The sequence below is a fragment of the Homo sapiens genome, chromosome X, assembly GCF_000001405.40.
Source record: "Homo sapiens chromosome X, GRCh38.p14 Primary Assembly".
In the NCBI taxonomy this organism is placed as follows: Eukaryota; Metazoa; Chordata; class Mammalia; order Primates; family Hominidae; genus Homo; species Homo sapiens.
Genome location: NC_000023.11, coordinates 11,159,084 through 11,180,770, shown reverse-complemented (window position 1 = coordinate 11,180,770; position 21,687 = coordinate 11,159,084). Strand labels below are relative to the sequence as shown.

The 21,687-nt window shown below is 39.9% G+C and overlaps 1 protein-coding gene across 5 annotated transcripts in view; it reads left to right on the top strand.

Annotated features, from left to right (window-relative positions):
- The window catches only part of ARHGAP6 (Rho GTPase activating protein 6), a 528,377-nt gene that overhangs the window by 485,150 nt on the left and 21,540 nt on the right, over positions 1 to 21,687 (top strand). For all 5 annotated transcript variants that reach the window (NR_109776.2, NM_013427.3, NM_001287242.2 and 2 more), the window contains 3 exons: positions 1,319 to 1,469; positions 2,523 to 2,671; positions 11,087 to 11,266. Coding sequence is in view for 4 of the 5 variants with exons in the window: in NM_013427.3 (NP_038286.2) it covers positions 1,319 to 1,469; positions 2,523 to 2,671; positions 11,087 to 11,266 (480 nt within the window). In the remaining variant the exon portion in view is untranslated. The remainder of the gene's footprint in view (positions 1 to 1,318; positions 1,470 to 2,522; positions 2,672 to 11,086; positions 11,267 to 21,687) is intronic.

The window sequence follows — 21,687 nt, the reverse complement described above, 5'->3', positions numbered from 1 at the left end:
TCAGGACAGTGATGGGTATTCATTCTCATCAGGTGGACAGGTAGCGAGTGCCAGAAATTACTCATCAGTTATATCGGGATCCATTAAAGGGGAAACCTTTGCATGGAGTTGTATTTAAGGATTACCCAATAAAAATATAATTAGTGTTTACTTAGAAGTAGATTTCAAGTATGAAATATGCCCTAACTCACTCATCATTTTACTTTGTTATATAACCCCTTAGCACCCTGCACTTTTTCCTTAGATCACTAGCCACAATGTTAAGAGTGAATTATTTGTGGGATTACCTGCTTATCACATTGTTTCTCTAGAGGGACTTTGCCTCTTTACTCACTAGTGTATTTTGTGAGCCTGTAACAGGGTCTGACACAGGAAATGCGTAGTAATCTTTGTTGAATGAATGGATGGATGAAAGATTGAAAACAAATGAACTCTTAGAGAAGTTTTTTGCATAGTGTAGGTTTATGAAGTTACATAATTATTTCTACAGCAGAGAACAATGCATACGAAAAGTTGAGCTGCTAGAGATAAAAGTAGGGTGTGGAGTTATTACTCCCTTGCTACTGTGTTTTCTTGCTGCTGCAAGTGATAATAGACCTAGTATAATGATTAAGGCAGGGAATCCTTCTGGTAATTGTTAATAAGACTACTTTGACAAATCTAAGACAGCTTTTATTTAGTTATTGTCATCTTTTAAGTCTTAGTCATAAATGTGTTATCAGGGCTCTTAATTTCATTTTTGCAGAAAAAAAAAATCTCTTTGCTTTCTTATAGAGTGACTCAGTAAAATATCAACATCCAAACATGGCAGGATTGGTGACACACAGAAATGCTGTGTAATAGATTAATTCCTCCCTCCCACATTTATAGCTGACCTAAATTGTCTTCTACCTCTTAGGTGTTCCTCCTAACCTGGTTGTCATTACCAAGCCCTTCTGCATACATCATTAACAATAAATCCACAGATAGTTTTATTTAATAATGCTTATATATATATATATATATGTATACATATACATATATATGTATATACATATACAATACATATATATACAATACATATATTGTATATATGTATACATATATACATGTGTATACTCATATATATACATATATATGTATACACACACACACACACATATTCATAGCTGGACTGTGTCAACTCGGCAGATCAAGGTGAGGATGTTGTTTGCTTCCCCTTCTTGGGGTCTGTGCAGTCTTAATTCCAGATGCTACGTGTCACAGCACTTCTCCTGCTGGGCACTGCTCATTGAGGTATGGTGTTATGTGACTGCCACTCGAACCATTGTTCTTCCAGTTACGTGAGGAATTTGACCGTGGGATTGATGTCTCTCTGGAGGAGGAGCACAGTGTTCATGATGTGGCAGCCTTGCTGAAAGAGTTCCTGAGGGACATGCCAGACCCCCTTCTCACCAGGGAGCTGTACACAGCTTTCATCAACACTCTCTGTGCGTAATACAGCCATATGTGGGAAAGTGGCCCTGGAATACTAAGATGTCCAACTCATTCATCATAACTTTATGCATATGTTTCCTGATAACTTTTTGTCCTTATTTATCAATCTCTAAAGAGTGAGCTATTTGAGGGAATTTCTCAGATTTACCCTGGGAATAATTAGCAAGAAGAAAGTTACAATAAAACAAATGGAAATAGCCAAGAAGAATTTGAGATGCTTTCAAATAACCCAAGAACAGTAAAAAGTACTATGAGTTAGTGCTTAGAGTACCAACAAGAGTTCACATTGAGTCTGTGCCTAAAAATGAGTTTGTGTTTCTGGTACGAAGAAGGAGGGAACCACGAGAACCCAGAGTGAGAAAGGAGGGCAGCAACATTCCAGGAGAAGCAAGATGCCATAGCCCAGTGCCAGGGCTTTCAACATAGCTGCTTCTGGGCTGTAGCTACAGATCCCATGAAGAAGAAAAAAAGGAGGAGGTAGAGGAGAGATAGGCCAAACCTGGGTCAACCTCCATACATTTCTTCCTCCAATGCTGCCATTCAAATAGGATCACAACGGAGAGAGAAGACATTGGCTTTGCTGTATCTTGGTTATTGCCAACAAAATATCTGTCCCTTGTGAATTGCTCAACAGAAAAGAGCCTTAAATCCATTATAAACTCAAATTTCAGAATGTTCACCAATTTTCAGCCATTGTTAATAAATATTTACCAAAAATGGAAGACTGAAATCCTTAAACTAGGTGATGAGTAATGCCAGGGAAGGGGGGAGAAGAAAGTAAGGGAAATTGAGTTACCTTTTTTTTTTTTTTACCTGGATTACAGTTATTTTTCTAGGTATTACACTTCTCGAGGTCTAATTTGGCTTTATATCTTTCATAGAATCTTGCTGGTAAATTGCTAAAGCAATGGGCAAATGAGTGAAGGCATGAAATGGGAATTGCCTTGATAATCCCTTTCTTAAGACAATTGAGAGGAGGCCTTTCCTCTGTGCCTGAATAGTATGGGCTCCCCTTTTATTTGAGTACCTCTTTTTGCCTTGCTTAGTGTTGGAGCCGGAGGAACAGCTGGGCACCTTGCAGCTCCTCATATACCTTCTACCTCCCTGCAACTGCGACACCCTCCACCGCCTGCTACAGTTCCTCTCCATCGTGGCCAGGCATGCCGATGACAACATCAGCAAAGATGGGCAAGAGGTAAGATGCCTTTGCTGCCATAGATGCCGTGACTCTTCCTCTCCCCTATTTTAAAAGGGCATACCACCAAAATGGCCATTTTGCCTGGAGGTAATGATGTCTCCCCTTCTCCAACCTAGCTGTCTCTGTAGGAAGAGACTAATGCAGGGCCTTCTCTGGAGGCACAGTTCCTAAAAGTGCATGGGCCATGAGCCTCCTTATATGTTTCAAGTATGCTTCCAAATGAGGCTGTCATTTTCCATGGTGAGGCTTTACTCAAGACTCTGAACTTCCGTTTGTAAAGAAGAAAAACAGTGAACTACAGAAGTGCTTGCAACCATGTAAAAGTGGAATGATGGGGGTGGGAGGAGATTGTTATCCTTATAATTGATTTTACCTGCTTCTATAACTTGGAGCCCAAATATGATGTCACCTCTTTATTCTTCCAGTTTATCCCTGGAGCTCCCATCTGCACTATGAGCAAGAAGTCTAGTGTCTCCCTTTCAAGGGATCCTTTCCTTTCTTAAACTCTCCCCCCAAAACAGGGACTTGCTCGATGCAAGGGAGGGTCAGTCCTGCTTCCAAACCAGGTGTGGAGGAAACTGGGTCTGATCTGCTGACCATTGCCATTGTGTCTTGATGTCACATGGTATCAACTGCTCAAAGCAGGTTGTACATAGTCCCACAGACTCTTTAGAAATGTTCTTGTTGGATCTGATCCCCACTCAGGCCCCAGTGTGCCCCCCCCCCGCCCACCAAATCTAAGATCTTGGGTTCTGGTTCTCTTTGGTTACACTCATATATTTCAAGATTTTTTTTTTTGTTTCACCCTTGGACAAATGAGATGCTGGCTTGAATTTTAAGTTGCTTACTTATGGGCAACGTATTTAATCTTCACCTTAACAAGAGACACCCCCTTCCCTCTTTGATACCATGCAGTTATACCTCTCCCTGACCTCGGATTCCTCAGGAGGTTTTAGACTCCTTAATAAGCTAACATGCACTGTAAATCAATAAGAAGGGGCCAGAGGCATTCCAAACTTACTTAACCACAGAAACTTTTTTGTAAATTCTTGTTAAACAAAGCTCAGCTGCACTGCAGCTTCAGTTCTGTGTTTGTCAAATTTCTTTCCCAAAGAACGTGGTTATGTATAATTTTTTTCACTCTAATCCAGAAAGGCAATTCTGCATTTCTTCTCGTCCTCCTCCTTACGGGTGTGAGAATGGAACTCTCCTGACTTAGCCATTTATCTCTATAGCAGTTATAATTAGTGAAGCCCCAGATGGCTTCAGGTTTCATAATGTGGCACTGACACCTTATTTCAGCATACACAGCTCTTTGATGGGCATACTATAATTCTCATAATTGTTAAGTAGTTTTATTACTCATTTGGATGCCAACCTCTATCAACTACAGTTATAACAGAAGCTGTAGCATGATCTGCCTAATTGCTGGGGGAAAGCAGAGCTCTGTGTTTAAAGGTACTCCAGTTACTTCTCTGACATTTCTTAAGTACTGTGTGAGAAGGAGAAAATTGGGTCTCAGGTAATTAGGAAGGCATTGAGGAAAGCAAAAGTTCCAATCGAACTCATTGTTGCCCTTTTAGAATCATTTTCAGACATTCTTTCCATTCAATTGCTGAACAAGTCTCCATTGCCTATGCCAAAAAGAAGAAAATATTCTTGGACAGGTGTAAATGAAACAGCATGCTGGAATATTAGCTACCATTTATGTCTCTCCTTCCATGAGCTGGCTTTGTGCTAGGGGAGATATATATATATATATATATATATATATATATATATATATATATATATATGCATGCAAATACATATAAATATATAAATATATGCAAATATATATATATATATATATATATATATATATGCAAATCCTCTTAACAGGCAAAAGAGATATCACTGTCTCCATGTTTCAGAAGTGAAAACTTAGGGCCAGGGGAGCTAAGTAACTTACCTAGCAACCCACAGAGAGCTTCCACTTAAGGTTGTACGAGTGGCATATTAGTGCATTTCACAACTCTAGGGGAGGTGCCATGGACCCCATAGTCACTGGAGATTTGCAGAGTTATTAGGACAGTATCCCAGTGGATGATAGAAAAAGATCTTGAAGAAGGACAATGTCGTTATACTGGTTAATGGGTTGGGTTGGTCCCCTTACTAGCAAAGTCCAAGCTGTGCATAGAACCTGAGCCAGTCTAAGAGAAAAGACGTACAGAATAGGAATTAGAAGAAAAAAAAAATGTACTGGGGTCTAGGTCATGGTTTCTCAGCCTCTGCACAATTGATATTTGGAGCTAGGAATTCTTTGTCATGGGGCCGTCCTGTGCATTGTAGGATGTTTAGCAGCATCCCCGGCCTCTTCCCACTAGATGCCAGTAGCAGTACATCTCCTCTCCCACCAAGTTGTGACAACCAAAAATATCTCCAAACATTTCCAGGTCTCCCCTGAGGAGAAGGGTTCAAAATCACCCCTGGTTGAGAGCGCTTGATAGCTCTTTAATTCACTGACCATGTGTTGTTAGAAAAATCTATTAACCTTCCTATACCTGGGTCTCCTCATCTGAACTTGAGGAATGAAAATTCTTCAACCAGCCTTGAAGAGTGGTTGAGAGACCTAGTTTACTGTAAGGAATATGGAATTATCCTGGTGACAGTGAAGTTGTAAAAGGAAGCCAGGGTTTACGAGGGTTTCTAGACACTCTTGACCTGAACATTGCATCAAAATGAAAGACTAATAGCCAAAGATTAAAGCAGCAGGAGAAATATAAGGAAAGCATTGCTTCCGTGAAATCGTTAGCAGTGACAGGAGAGCAGGCAGCTCTCACAGCCATTGTGAACTGTAGTAAAGGCTACGGAGCAGTGAAGTACTGAGGGAGACAATGGGAAATTGGGCCATGTTCATAAATTGCTGAATGCCTCTGTGCAGGGCAGGTGGTTGATTCTTTTAAGCTGTGAATCCTTGGAAGGATTCAACTAATGGGTGATATGATCCACGTTGTAGATTGGCTAGAGACAAAGGGAGAGTGAGTTAGGAGGCTTTTGTATCAATAGTAATATGGACAACAGCAATTCCTATTATAAACATTTCCATGTAAGAATGGCCTTGGCGGGCCAGGCGCGGTGGCTCACGCCTGTAATCCCAGCACTTTGGGAGGCCGAGGTGGGCGGATCACGAGGTCAGGAGATCGAGACCATCCTGGCTAACATGGTGAAACCCTGTCTCTACTAAAAAAATACAAAAAAAATTAGCCGGGCGTGGTGGTGGGTGCCTGTAGTCCCAGCTACTCAGGAGGCTGAGGCAGGAGAATGGTGTGAACCTGGGAGGCGGAGCTTGCAGTGCTCCGAGATCACGCCACTGCACTCCAGCCTGGGTGACAGAGCGAGACTCCATCTCAAAAATAAATAAATGAATGAAAGAAAGAAAGAAAGAAAGAAAGAAAGAAAGAAAGAAAGAAAGAAAGAAAGAAAGAAAGAAAAGAAAGAGAAAGAAAGAAAGAAAGAAAGAAAAAGAAAGAAAGAAAGAAAGGAAGGAAGGAAGGAAGGAAGGAAGGAAGGAAGGAAGGAAGGAAGGAAGGAAGGAAAGAAAGAAAGAATGGCCTTGGGATTTGAATCATGCATGTCCTGAGCATCTACCCTAGGTTCCTGTAAACCAACGACTATTGCTCAGAAATTTTCTAATGACTGGCCTCAGGATACAATGGCATCTAAGAGGTGGAGGAGGTGAGGACACAAGGCAAATATAGAATTAGGGAATGCACTGCAGAGTCATTGCAGACATTCGGAGAAGTGATGAGCATGGGCCAGAAAAGTTAGGAATGGCTTCATGGAGGAGGTTGAATTTAAGATGCACATCAAAGGGTGTGTAGGGATTGAGTACATGGACCACATAAGCACAGCATTGGGATGGGAGTTAGCCAAACCCCTTCTGTTAGAAGTCAAGGGTAGAGGGAGAGGATCAAGAGAGGAGTTATTTATTATTTTTTAGTTGATTTGGCATGAGCAGGTAGAGAATATGGAATGGGCAGACTGGAGTAAAACTAAATACCAAATTGTAAAATATGGTCAAAAACCAATATTTTTCAACTTCTTCTCTTCCCTATTTTTTTAGTATGTATTATCTATTTGTTAGGGTGTTGTTTGGGGGGATTGCAACATAGATGAAACCTGAAGCAGATTGTCAAGAAGCTTGAAAGCTCACACAGGTTCTGCCAGCACCTTGCTGCATAACTTGTCTTTATGAAAGAGAGGAAGAGGAAGGAAAACAGAGTTGGGATGGGGGGTGGTCTTAGCTTCCTCATCTACAAAATGAACATAATATTTTCTCTTTGATATGTGCTTAAAATTCAATGCATCATTCACTGGTGAGACCTTAAAGATGTCTAAAAGAAGGGCATGAGAAAAATTGTTGACCAATCAGTGCTTTTTTGGGAAAAAATAGCAGTATTTTATTGAATTGTGGTGTTTTGCTATCTTGTGTTTGTTTTGTTTTCTTCTATTTTGTTTAGTTTGCTATTTGCTTTGCTCCTTAGGGAAAAGAGAAATTCCCAAGTGTAAGAAACATTGCATTTCTTCAAGAAAGAATATAGCAGGAACAAAATTGAAACCTCCTGAGCAGTGGTTTTTCAGAGTTCAAGAACCCCCTGGCACTGCCTGGAAAATGTGGTGTGAATATGCACTTGTTTGGTGAGAGTCCGTAGCTGGCATTGAGTTCTCAAAGGGTCTATGAGGCAAAAAAAGAAGTTACAAATCACCAGTGTAGGGCCATGATTACTAATCTCTGAGGAGGTACATGCCTCTAGGAAATGGTGGTTGGCTTTGGAACTTAGCAAGACCTGTGTCTCCCCTCACCCTCATTCAGCCCTGTTTTAAAGCTCGTTTTCCCGTTTCCCCATGCCATGGCTGGGTCTGCCCAGCAAGAGGAAACAGGAAGAGATGTAGCAATGGGATGAAGAGAGTAGGGCTGCCTAGAGTGGGGCCACCAGCTTCGCTTCTTTCTATACCATCTCCTGGCTCTGAGCTTTGGACATCACTTCCCTCGTCTATAAAATAGGGACAACAGCAGCAGCTGTTTCTTAAGCTTATAGTGAGAAAGAATTGAAATGGCCAGTGGAAAGCCCCTAGCCTGGTACCTGTACATATTAGACTTTTAACAGATATGAGCTATTCATATGAAGCTTAGAAATGATCTAGGATGTTCATTTAGTGAAGATAAAAGTTTTCTTGAATTGCTAGCTAATTAAAAAATGAAGTAATGGCCTGGCTCGAGTGTACGTTGTATTACCTAGACACAGCCGTATAGTATATATATAAATATATGCTGAAACACATGGAGAAAAGGTGGATGTTGCCTGGGAGCAACTCTTCTTTCCCTGTTAAAAAACAATAAAACAAAAGAAACCCCAAAAGTGTTAACAAACCCCAGCAGCTTGGTCTGCAGCTGGAATCTGTGTGCAGTTTTACAGATGGGTTGTATTCCATTCCCAGAATAGCAACAGGAGAAGGAAAGAGCGGAAACAGAGCTCTAGATTGTTCTCGTATGAAACATTCTTTTAAAAGAAAACAAAATCTTCCATTTGTTAATGTTTTTTTTAAAAAATGAGAAAACCCTAATATGACTTTACAGGGGTAAGGGGAAACACTCCAAATACCTCTGAGTTCTAAAGGGAGGAATTTGAAAATGACACGTATTTGATTTTCACCTTAACCATGAATTTCCAGGAAAAGAAAAATTAAATGAAAACTTGTCAATGAAATAAAAAACTTACCAATGAAATAAAACAAAGAAAAATGATTGGACGATCCTACATAAAGGGCACTTTCTTTGAAATTGTCAGTGTTTATCACATGAAATGATATCCCTTGGAGGCCAATCATTCACCTGAAAACAGCCTTGCCTTCTAAAAATAATACAACTCGTGTACCAAGCTGGGATTGCAGGGCAGGGCAGCCACCAGCTCATGACGCCACAGGATGAGAGTGGGGTTCAGAGGGCTTTGTTTCAGCTGTTCATTGGGACTCCTGAATTCTATGCTGGGCACCCAGGTGTTTCTCAAAATCTATGTAGATCTTCCCAGGCAAAAGATCCCCACCAAGCAGACGCAGTTCCCATACTTATCCTGACTCTCAACTGATATTGACAAGAGAAATAAAAATTCACATAGACCAGTGGTTCTCAACCAGGAGCAATTTTACCCCACAGGGGACCTGCGACCATGTCTAGAGATAATTCTGGTTGTCACAACTGTGGGTTGAGGGCAGGGGTGCTCCTGGCATCTAGTGGGCTGAGGCCAGGGGTGCTGTTCCACATCCTGTAATGCACAGGACAGCCCCCACAGCAAAGAATGATCTGGTATTACATGTCACTAGTGTCGAGGTAGAGAAACCCTAGCCTAGAGAAACTTACTCAGACTCTCCCGTTCACCTGAAAGAAAGACAAGTAGAAAAAATTCCCAAACCTTTGAAAACGTTCATATTCCTTATTACAACAATTCAACTTGTAGGAATTTACTCCTAAAAAGTGCTCACCCGAGCTCACAAAATATCTTTTCAAGGATATTTTTTGTACCATTGCTTATAATAACAGAAAATTCAAGACGACATCAATGCCTATTAGTTGACTGTGGTTAAAAAACATCATGGTTTATTCGTGCAGTGGGATTCTAGGGGCCAATGAAGCCTGAAGACAGGATTTTTTTTTTTTTTGTAGTGGAAAGATTATTGTAGCATGTTGTTAAGAGATAGTAAGCAAGTTACAAAATAATATATGGATGTGATCCCAGTTTTAAAGAAGAAAATATCAGGTGTACATGTATATATGTGCACAGGAAGGCATAGGAATGGCTGATTCTTGGCAGTGGTGAAATTATGGGCATTTTTTTTTCTTTTGGCTTACCTGTGCTTTCTAATTATTAATATATTGAATGTGAATAATTTTTTATGCTTCAAGCAAAAAATAGTTCCCTTCCTTCACCCCGTACTCCCCTTTAGCTCCTCCTACATTTCTTCTTCCTCCTTCTCTGTGATATCTTTTGAAGAAAGTGTCTACATTCACTGTTTCCACTTCTGCAACTGTGGCTCATTCCTGCCACACCACTGACATGACTCTTAGCTGGGACATCAGAACCATCAGAGAGTCCATTCTGGAGGGAAGGGTCACATCTCGATGACCCTCTGCCACAGTTGATAACTCACTTGAAACTCCCCTGTCATTTCTTCTTGGACACAGGTTTCTTTTATGGTAACTTCTCACCCATTATTGGCCTCCTTCATCAGCTGCTCCTTAAGGGTGCTGGAGTCTCCAGGAACCCCTTTTCAGCCCTTCATGTTCCTCACTTAACTGTCCTTCCATTTTTTCATTTGTTAAAACACAAGATCCTTACCCTCTGCATTATCCTCTTCACCCCCTCCGTAACTTTGGAAGCTGCTCTTCATCCCTACTTCTTCCTTCCTAGTTCAGATGCTAGCTGCTGTGGCCTAGACTGTTGTGGTATGTCCCAGGTAGTCCTACTTCCTTGCATCCCCCATCCCCTGTTCCATAGATTGCTCTTCCTGAAATGCAGATTCCATTTCCATTCTGCTCTGTTCAGAATCCTCTTGCCCTTAGATCACAGTTTGAATTCCTTGGTCTGACACATGAAGATCATCTCACCTGGCCCTTGCCTGCCTTTCCTGCAGAACTCCCTACCACACTGAGCTTCCTGGGGCTCCATGACGTATTTTAGATGTTTCTGTCTTTGCATGTGTGGTGCTTTCTCCATTGTAAAATTACCCCCTAGCCCAGATCCTTTGCTTTTCAGCCTAGCAAACTCTATTCTTCTTTTGAGAGTTTGTGCAAATGCTTCCGCCTCTGTGGTAGTGACCCTGGGGCCTTTGGAGTTGAGAGCTTTATACTTTGTACTCATTACCTGTAAGTGATAGGTTTATTTCCTCCCTAGAATGAGAGACCTTTAAAATAAGGACTATGTTGTAATCATTGGAAAAATTTTAAAATAATTACAATATATGAAAAATGCCCAGCCTATGATAGGTGCTGAGTGGATGGATCAGTGGTGAGATTATGGGTTGATGAATGAAGGGATGGATGGAGAAATGGATAGATGGATGGATGGGTGTCAATATTTCTTAAGTGCAAACAGGATAGAAATTTTATGTAGTACCCATTTTACAATAAACAACTTAGAGTTGCAAATTTTTATTCAATATGCTATTGAGATGATCACTGAACTGTGAGCTTCAATCCAAGATATTAAAGCAAAAGGAAAATAATGATGCCCTCCATGGATTCTGACAGAGAGGATGGCATCCTTGCAGGATTAAAAAAAAAAAAGGAGAGTAAAAGGTTTCATTGATTGTTGAATCACCCAGTATCTTGAAAGGCAAACATAACAACAGTCCTTGTGTTCTGTTCTCTTATAGGTCACTGGGAATAAAATGACATCTCTAAACTTAGCCACCATATTTGGACCCAACCTGCTGCACAAGCAGAAGTCATCAGACAAAGAATTCTCAGTTCAGAGTTCAGCCCGGGCTGAGGAGAGCACGGCCATCATCGCTGTTGTGCAAAAGATGATTGAAAATTATGAAGCCCTGTTCATGGTAGGTGGCCCTTCTGTGGCAGGACATCACAGCAAACTGCCTATTGGTTTCCTCTGGAGGCAGGATGAAATTCTAGTAGACCACCCTCTGGGGTGCAGTGCTGCTCACTGAATTCATTGGAAGTCAGGCAGTTTCAGCAGGAGTAGAAATTTGCACAACTATGATGTCATTTTGAGTTTGTGACTCCATGTTTAAACAAACATGCCAAATTATAATTTTCATTTTGTTGTCCTCTAAACCATGGTCACATTTTGGAGTCACTTAATTATAAAGCAGTGTCCTTGCTCAAGACATTAATAAAACCCTTCTTTATGGAATTGTGTCCCTCATGAATTCATGTATTCATAAGCATCCTCAGTGGTTTCACCTCCTCCAAGGTCAATCTTGACATTTTACCTCCTACATGAAGCTTCACCTCTCCTTCCTTTGTCCTTCCCATGCCACTTCTCTGTCCCCTGAACTCCATTACTGTTCTTACTGATGTTTATCTTGCCCAACATTGTGTATAGTAATTTATGACCATTTCCCCTAGTAGAGTATAAATGCATTTAAAACAAGGACTGCACCATTGTTATCTCCTCTCCATATCCTCTGTACACTTTTGGAAAGCCCTCCATCTGGCAGGCACTCAATAAATATTTTTTTGATTTGTATTGAATTACCAGTTCCTGTTTTCCTTCATCAAACTGCATTGCTTGCTACAACTTCCCTTGAAACATTAAAACAAATGCCAACTCTCTTCTATTTCTGTTCACCACTAATATTGCATGTCAAAATTTACAGGAACCTTCTTCATGTTTTTTCTCCCATTTCTCTTGTCAATTTGCAAACGCTATAAAGCCTGCCTATTCCACTAGAGCCTTTTGTGGCTCCTTCCTTCAACCGAGAATTCTAGTTACCTCTTTTAAATTTCTTTAGTAGTTTGTCTACACTTATCAAGTGCTTTGCATTAGATTTATGTCCATGCTTGTCTTATACTAATTACTTTTTGTAAATTTGAGACCCAGCAGTTTAGAGTATTTGCCCTCTGTGTCTTACCTATGTGATTGTGACCAAGTAATTCAATACTCATTATGCATCAATTCTAGCTTTAGAAATGGGAAAAACAAAATGATGATGTAATTCTCAGGGTGGTGACCAGAATCATTTGATACGTGAAAGTATTGTGCAAACTGTAGCAGTTTATGCAACTGTTAATTAGTAATTATATTAGTTGGGTAACACGTGCTGCCTCAAAAGTCAGTACTTTAACACAAACATAAATATCACTCTGACATAAAGTTTAATCAGGTGTTAAGTGGACAGCCTTCCAGGTGGTGATTTAGGAATCCCAGCTCCTTGTATTTTGAGGCTCTGACATTTTTTAGAGTTTTACGGGCAACCCCAGAAAGGTCATCCATCTTGTCCACTCAAATCTCATTGGCCAGAACTTATGCACAAGCCACACTTAACTTCAAGCGAGGCTTGAAAATGTATCCTGGTTGGATCCCCAGGAGGAAGAGCAAATGAAAAGTTCACTGAGGTAGAATGGCATCTTGTTCCTGTTTGTGTCTCTGAAGCACTGTCCCTGGGTTGCACATGCTAAGCTCTCAAAAAATGTTGAATTAATAATTGACTCTATATAAAATTTACACATCAGCCTAAATCCTCATAATTAACTACATATTTGGATGAATCAAATGTCTGAACTTTTCAACATTTTCATCAAGTTTAAGTCACATATCATCTTGCCAAGTAGTCTTGGCATTACTTCATGTTCTCTGGATTTTTTTAACAAAATAATACTTCTCATCAAACTTAATTCTATTATCTAAGCAAAGTTCTCCTTTATATGAAACCACATATCATCGAGCATTTCTTTTCAACTCAGATACCAACAAAAGTTTTCCTGGCTTCTTTGAAAATATAGCTGCTGCCATTTTAATTGTGCCATCCCTCTTCTTTCCATTTCCTGCCACCTGAATTACTAAGAACAGTATAAAAACATCAGTATTCTACCTTTTCCAGCTTTTCCCAAATCTGATCTTTGTTTGCCATTCTCTGTAGGGATTGATGTCGGCATTCTCTCATATTTTTGGTCTCCAGTTATAGTCTTTACTTCTCATAGAGGCCTTTCCTGGCCACCTTGTCTAAAATGCACCTCCACCCTCCATCACACACACACACACATCATCACTCCCTATTTCCTTTCCCTGCTTTTTCCCCTTAGCACTCACCACTGTTAACATTGGGTCTTACAAATTTCTCGTTTATGTTCGCCACTCCCTAGAAATGTAAACTACATGACAGGATGATTTTTTTGGTCCATTTCTATCTATAGTACTTTCTTTACTGCATTACCCCTGTGCCTGGGACATGGTAGGAACACAATAAATATTGGTTGAATTAATGAATGACTCAATGGTTGTTCTGTGACATATGATTTCCATATTACCAAGCCTTACTCCTTATACGTATGAAAAGATTTGGGCATGGAGAAATTAAGGATACCTTTCTTGGAGTAAGTTAACCATTAATGTAATCATTCTTGACCTCTTTAGAAGGATTCTGGTAATCATATATTCAGAAAAATAACAGTGGAGTGGGAGGAAGAGGGAGACAAATATCTCAAGTCTTGGTCTATGAAAAGAAACTGACTCTGGAACCAGAAAATTTACTATCGTCCTGTCCCTGTTATATATTGGCTACATGACCTCATCTTCTTCTATTTCTTTAGTTATCAAATACTAGATTTGAATGAATGATAGCCAAGACCCCTTCTAGTTGTAAAATCTGCATGGTGCTATGCCCTAGCACTGACTTCCCTTCCTTCCTTTTTATAAAGCACAGGAGAAAATTAATCTCATCACATTTTAGATTATCTTGGCATATTTGGCAGTTGAGAAACTAGTCGGCTATACCAAGGCTGGTGGTTTGTCAGCAAAGCTGATCTGCATGGGTGGACAAAAATGTAATCTTGTATGTCGCTATGTTGTTTTGTTTTGTTTGGCTTTTTAAAGAAGCTTTCAGAATTATTATAATTCCAAACAAAGAAGGATGAAGCTAGTCAGGGCCTGATGGTTAAAAGTAGTTAGTAATTGTGCAGTTTCACAGTCCTTGGGTTTAAGAGCTCGGAAAGGGAGGTGTCACTTCTATTAGCATTAGAAAGGAAGACTTGTTAGGAAAGGTAGCTGTGAGCTTGTCCTGGAAGGCAGAACAGACCTGGAGGCAGTGATTCCATAAAATAACTGGTGGAAGGGATGTAGAAGCTCACAGAGGCCTGGCAGGGACCCAAAATTTGTTCTGGGTGTTCTAACATCCTTCATTTCCTGATGCTGAGACTGCCTCTCCCAAGTGGCCACTCTCTGAGTTAATGGGAAAGGGCGGAAAAGAACCTGGCTTCGTCCTGTAATACAGAAGAGGAACCTAGATGCAGAGGTTGACACACAATTTAAGAGTCTGGCTAGGACAGTCTTTTGCATTGGTTGTTTGCTTTTCAGGTACTGGTTTGGAAATCCTTGAGCTGGAAATAGATCATAATAGCAGATATCATGACCACAGATATCAAAATACGAAGGCAGTAGATTATAATGGTGGTTCTCAAACTTGAGTGTGCAGCAGAGTTGCAAGGAAACTTAGACATTCAGATTCCTAGGATGCACTCCCGAGAATCAGATTGAGTAGCACTGGGATGGGGCCCAGAAATAATCTGCACTTTCTAGTGAAGACCTCCACAGAGTTCTGGTAGTTTCCTAACCACACCTTTGGAAACCATATCTTGGGAAACACTGGTATGGTAGAAAGACCATGTGCATTGGAATGAGCTACCAAAATTCAAATCCCTGCTCAGCCACTTATTTGCTATGTAATCTTGGGCCCCACAGTTAACTTCCCTAGCCAAAAGATGAAACAATGTGACCTAATTTACAGGACTGTTATAAGAATTAGAAATGACATTTTAAGGCACCTAGAACAGAATTAACATATATTAGGCATTAAAGGAAGATTTCTGCTATTATTACATTAAAGGGATAAGGTGCCTGCTCTATCAAAGCGTGTTTGGGTGTTTTCTTGGAAATCAAGCCCACTCTGCCCACTGTGTATAATGCTGTGACCTGATCCCACACATATATACTCCTAGGCCCTTACTCTGCTCTTTTTATTCCATAGCATTTATTACCTTTTAACCCACTATATAATTTACTTATTTTTATGCTTATTGAAACCTAACAGAATACAAACCTTATAAAGGCAGAGATTTTTGTTTGTTCTGTTCACTGACATTCATACCACCTAGAAAGTATATGGCAAAAGATGGGTGCTCAGTAATTATTTGTTGAATAAATATTGCAATTCTGTATTACTAGAAAAAAAATGTATTTTTGTTTCGATTTTGTCCAGTGTCCATACTGCTTATATTCCCTTACCTTTAAATCATGACCCTCCACTTCTGATATCAACACCTGTTGAAAAACTGGCTAACATAAAATGATACTCTGTGGGAGCACTGGAAATCAAGGATAAGAATCATTAATATCTACACAAAGTCATTGGTATTATCCTAACCAGAAAGTTCTCACTGACTAAGTCATTGATACATGAATTGTTCTGAAAGTTGTTACTTCTGTAACTAATATTGGGAATTCCAGAGAAAACTCATCATTGCTCTTGGGATTAGTAAGAACTTCAGAGCAGAATGGAGAAAACTGTCAGCTTCTTCTAAGGGCTGATATTAAACGATTCTTACTAGGACTTCTTCTTAGGAGAGGGGCAAGAAAGAGAAGACACCACCCTTGTAAGCTGATGAAAAGTCCGGAGTGCAGTGGAGACGTGGGAAAGCCAGTGTGTTCCCACCCCACTGAGTTGTCAGCCTGAACTGGGGACCAGCTTAGTGCACGTGGGAAATTTCAAATGAGCACTACTGGGAGCAAGGGTCAGAGGCTGTGATGAGGATTCCGAGTCAGAAGCCAAGCTTTGCTTTGTGTTCTCTTCATTCCCTGATGAAAATCGCATTTTCTTAAAGCCACTTTGCACACCAAGTCAAAGAGTCAAGCATTCATCCAGGTCATCAAGCAAGAAACCACCCCTCCCAGTATATCCACATAATTATATATGATTTCCATTTCCTTTTCTATATATCACAAATACCACTGTCTACGTGCCAGGGTTGGGCTACTCATTACGTACATTATTGGCTTGTTTAAATCTCACTACCATTTCATGAGGAGTAAGCCAAGTTTGTTTGCCCAAGTGATGCAGTGACTAAATGAATTATTTCTACAGCATGATGCCTCCTTACACAAAAGAAGAGGCATTTTGATGTGGTATCTCAGATATGGAGTCCATTTGTGGGGAAAGAACAAGAAAATATGTTTTAGCCAATCTGGAAATGAGGAATGAAGACCTTTAACAGCAGTAATACTGCTGGACTAATCATAGCACCCCTGATGTTCAGGCCAGCAGATGGCTTCCAGAGCCAGCAAATGTTCTGCTATAGTCTGCTCACTTGGCCCTGTCTGTAAAGACAGAACATGTGTACTGTTTGTGTCCCACAAAGGTGGAAGGAAGCAGAAGCAAATTATGCCTGAACCTTTCCCACTCCCTTTAACCTGTTGCCATGGAGCAAAGACTGCTGATTTCTTTCATCTTTGCTTGAGTTATCCTCCAACATCGTTCCATGAGCCCTGGACCCTTCCACTGTATTTGTTCACTAATGTACCTGAATTGCCAAAACATGCTGCCTGACATGTATCAAGCACTTGAGAAATATTTGCCGAATTTAATGCATCTTGACCCTCCCGTGCACCCAGACCCCTTAAATTATTAAACCACCTGTCACAACAGAGCCACGCCAAAGGTTCTAAGCTGGGCCTGTCCTTGTTTGAGCTTTTGCTCCCATAAACAGCCAAAGTGATTTCTTTTAGTGTGTTTGTTAACTACAAAATGCCATCATGATTTCCAGTGCTATTTACTTTTGCTGGGTTTTAAATGCTAAAGCATCCTTCTTGGTCAAGTGCAAAGTGGTGGATTGGTGTGGAACATCCAGTGACAAGTGCAGTAGGGCTGGGTCCTGGGAATAGCTCTTCAAAAAGCCCTTAATGGTTTATTGTGGTGACTTAGTAAATGGAGAAAACTCAACTCATACCACTTTTCTCTCTCAGTGGTTTATGGAATAAACTACCTCATAGCAGTTATACCCCAGGCAATAATTCAAGGTTTCATTTTTAATTTGATCGGGTAGATTTTAATTGTGACAGTTTTATTCTTTCATATGTGCAGTGTTTACATTTTTTTCTCTGAAGCAGGAGGGGCCAAAGTTCTTTTGATTTTTGGAACAGCATTATGCTTTGAAGGAACTCATTAAAATCTAAGGAGTTGAGTCTCCAGATAAACAAGACCATAAATGGTACCCTTAGAAAATATCTAGAATTGTTACAAGGTTGACTAAAGCCCAGTAGAGATTTTGATGTGAAACAATGAATTGTAAATGAAGAATCACTTTGGGCTGGGTTTCGTTTCTTCTTTTTAACATGCAGAATTGCTTGATTTTTTAAAAAATGTAATATGTCTTTCACTACCCTTCTCCTTAGTTCCCATTTTGCTATATACAAAAATCCCAGAAGCAGAAAATGAAAACGTTGTTTAATTATTGAGCTATCTTTTTCAAAAAGTTTTGAAGTTTTTGTATTGATAAGAAAAATAGCTTAAGAACTTAGAAAAAATCTGATGATAATCAGTTGGGAAAGAAAATGTATTTTCCCACTCTAGAAATGAACAGCAAGAAGACTGTGCTGCAGCATGACATAGGTACCACTGATAAGTAGAGAGAAACATCTAGACAAGGGCAACGTAACACATGCAGTCCATAATCCTGGGTGATTTTAGATTATTATTATTTTTAGCCATTTCAGCAACATTCACTGCACATCCACTGGGTAGAAATCACCACCCTAGCTTGTATTCTGAAAGAGCATAAAATTGAGCAAGAGAGTGTGTAAGTGAATGACGGGGTGAGGGTCATAGAAGTGCAGGTAAGACCTTCCAGAGAGGAAAGAGTAGGAAGGCAAAGTTAGAGGAGGAAAATGAGACATCATTTAGGAAACATTTGACTGGCAAGGAGAACAATAATCAACTGCAAATGGCTTTCGACATCAGCATTTATTATGTGACACAGTAAATATGGGGGGGGGGGCACAGTTTCAGTAGCTGGGTAGCACTTTGCTCTCTCTCTCTCTGCTCTGCCATCTTCAGCTGCAAAATGGCTACAGTTGATAACAGCATCTCTTCCAGCCATCATTGCATCAATTAATGAAGAGATGATGTTTCTTTTCATGTACCCATTTTCAATAGGGAAGATAACCTTTTCCAGAAGCTCCTACATGCCCCACTTCAGGTACCAGCATGTGCATACGTGATCTTGCCCTAGCTTTGAGGGAGGCTAGCTGAAAGAAAACTACAAATTTCTGAGCCTGTTTCAGTTCTGGGTAAACAAATCAGATAATCCCTGCCTTCAGGAAATTTACCTTCTAATGACTTGAATGGTGGGAAGATTCAAGGTCTAGCCAAAGGAACTGGAAGGGTGAGGCTACACAGAGTCTGACTTCAAGACCATTGCAGTTGAAGGGCCAAGAGGTCATAGGCTGTAACTCCAGAAATTCAGAGGGGGATTAGAAGCAGAGGCATAGCAAGAGAAAATCCCATAACTGAGTTACCCAAAAGAAGTGTTAAGCAAAAGAGAAGAGAGTGCTTCTTCTCTGAAAGCGAATGGATGACTGTTAATAAAAACTAATAACTGCAGAATAAATATTGTCCATCTCCATGTTATCTGCTTTTATTTTTTCAAGTGTTTAACTTACTTATTTCATCTATTTCTAATAAAACATTTTATTACTAGATCTCTTTGCAATTGGTAATCTATTTTCATTTTTTTTTAGCGCTTTTGATTCCCGTAACACCCCCCATTAAGTAAAATGAATATGCATATGTTTTCAGATGTGGGAACAGAATCCTAAAGAAGGTGATTGATGTGTCCAAGTTTATATTAATTATAAACAGCAGAGCCAAAACTGGATTTCAGGGGCTGTTGCCTCAGTCAGATTTTTTTTTACAGCATCCTAATTCCTGAAAAGGTATGCTTAAGTCAGTGGTCTACCTAGATATTTCTTTCTTACTTATTTCAAGCTGCTGTTTCCTATCAGTTTATTTACTTGACTTTTATTTCTCCATTAAGTACCTAAATTAATAGAGAAATAAGTGTTCATCCAATATAACTGAGCCAGTAGTTTGAAATTTTTATTAAATGTTAGGAAACGAAATGTGCAGTTATAGCCAAAGATTAGAAGAATTATAGGAAAACAGTACTGGGTGCTGTTGTATGAACATTAAAAAATCAGTTTCAGGCATCATTTCAAATTTTTTACCTCATTTTCCCACTGACTCCAATTTTCTGAATCATTCCTTTATTTTTTAGAATGTGGTTTAATCACATACATTTTGAAGCTGCCTTAAATCACTCTGTAACAAAATGGATTATAAATAAACTAATGAATTATATACAACTGTAGTTAGTTTTGCATAATACATAGGAAAATATTATTTGCCTTCCTGTAATACATGGATCTACAATTTTAAACTATGTCTTTTTTATGCATTTGTAAATAGTGTCTCCAAGCCAAAATGGTACCATGGGCCTTTTAAAAGGAAACTGTAGATAGATTTATAACTGTGACCCTTCCTATTTGCATTTGTTACCAAGTAAGAGTCACATATGCTACATAAAATAGACCTCAGTAATTATGATTGCTCGCCTAGTTGAATGAGGAAAACCTCTGAATTGCAGACTAGCTTGACAAAAATTTATGGAAAGTTATTTTTTAAGTAATGATACTTCTGAAACCTATTCTAATAATGCATCCAAGTTGATAATTTATCTTAGACATACTACATACTCTCAAAGAATTAATATTGTCATGCTTGCACCACTCTGAAGGGCTTGCACTCTAACTGTTTATTCTTTAATTAAATCCAAGAATGGATTAGTGCTTGGAGCGAAATTTTTTTTTTTTTTTTGAGACAGAGTCTCGCTCTGTCACCCAGGCTGGAGTGCAGTGGCATGATCTCGGCTCACTGCAAGCTCCGTCTCCCGGATTCACGCCATTCTTCTGCCTCAGCCTCCCAAGTAGCTGGGACTACAGGGGCTCACCACCACGCCCGACTAATTTTTTTTTTTTTTGTATTTTTAGTAGAGACGGGGTTTCACCATGTTAGCCAGGATGGTCTCGATCTCCTGACCTCGTGATCTGCCCACCTCGGCCTCCCAAAGTGCTAGGATTACAGGCGTGAGCCACCGCACCCAGCCACGAAATTTTTTATTACATGTCAAAGCCTAGCAAGTTTTAAATTAAACTAACTGGATGAAAATGCAAGTACTTTTCCTAATTTGTTTATGGAATTTTCTTCTAAAAAAGAGATCGGGACATACATTTTTGTCCTATATTATTTTTTGCTCTGCTGTTCATTAAAAAAATATGAGTTCTCTTTCCTCTCATTTTCACCCTTTAGGTGTTACGTTTTTAAAAACTGTTATAATAGCACATGGCTGTTGGGTGATGATCTTTGGAAAAAATACAGTAAAAATGATGTCTTTCTGTTTAATTTATACAGTAAGAGAATAATCTCACCCTTGACCTAAATATCCTGCCCTTTCCCTTCTCCCCATTTTCATACCCAGGCCACTGCAGCTGGTCACAGGGTTTTAAATACCATCTATATGTGCCTCTTAAATGTCTATGTTCAACCCAGACCTCTCCTATGAACTCTGAATCCTTATTGCCAACTATCTACAAGATACCTCCTTCATTTGGATGTCTTGCAAACCTCTAAACATTATCATATCAAAACCACACTCCAAAACTTGACCCCCAACCTTCTCCTCCTGCAGCTTCTCCAAACCAGTCAACAGCAACTCCATCTTTCTAGTTGCCTAGGCCCCAAGCATTGAGGTCATCCTTTCTTCTCCCTCTCCCTCTCTTCTCTCTCTCTCCATCCAATAAATTAATGCTATTACCTCTATCCTCACTATGTCCACTGTGGAAATATTTCTCATCACCTCACTGCCCTGGTTCAGGACCCATCATCTTATCTGGGTAGATCAGCAGGCCCTCTCTGCTCTCCTTGCTTTATCTCTGGCTCCATGCATTCTACTCTCAACTCAGCAGCCAGAGTGATGCTGCTTCATGTTAGTCATCTGTTCAAAATCTCCAGTGGATCCCCACCCACTGCAAGTAAGTGCAGAAGTCCTTATTATGACCCATAAGACTCCATGACACCTGGTCCTGGCCCTATGACCCCTTCCTACCACCCGCCTCCTTTCCTACTCTCTTCCAGCCTCACAGACCTCCTCATCACTCTTGACTCAAGACCTTTATCATTGGCTTTCTTTT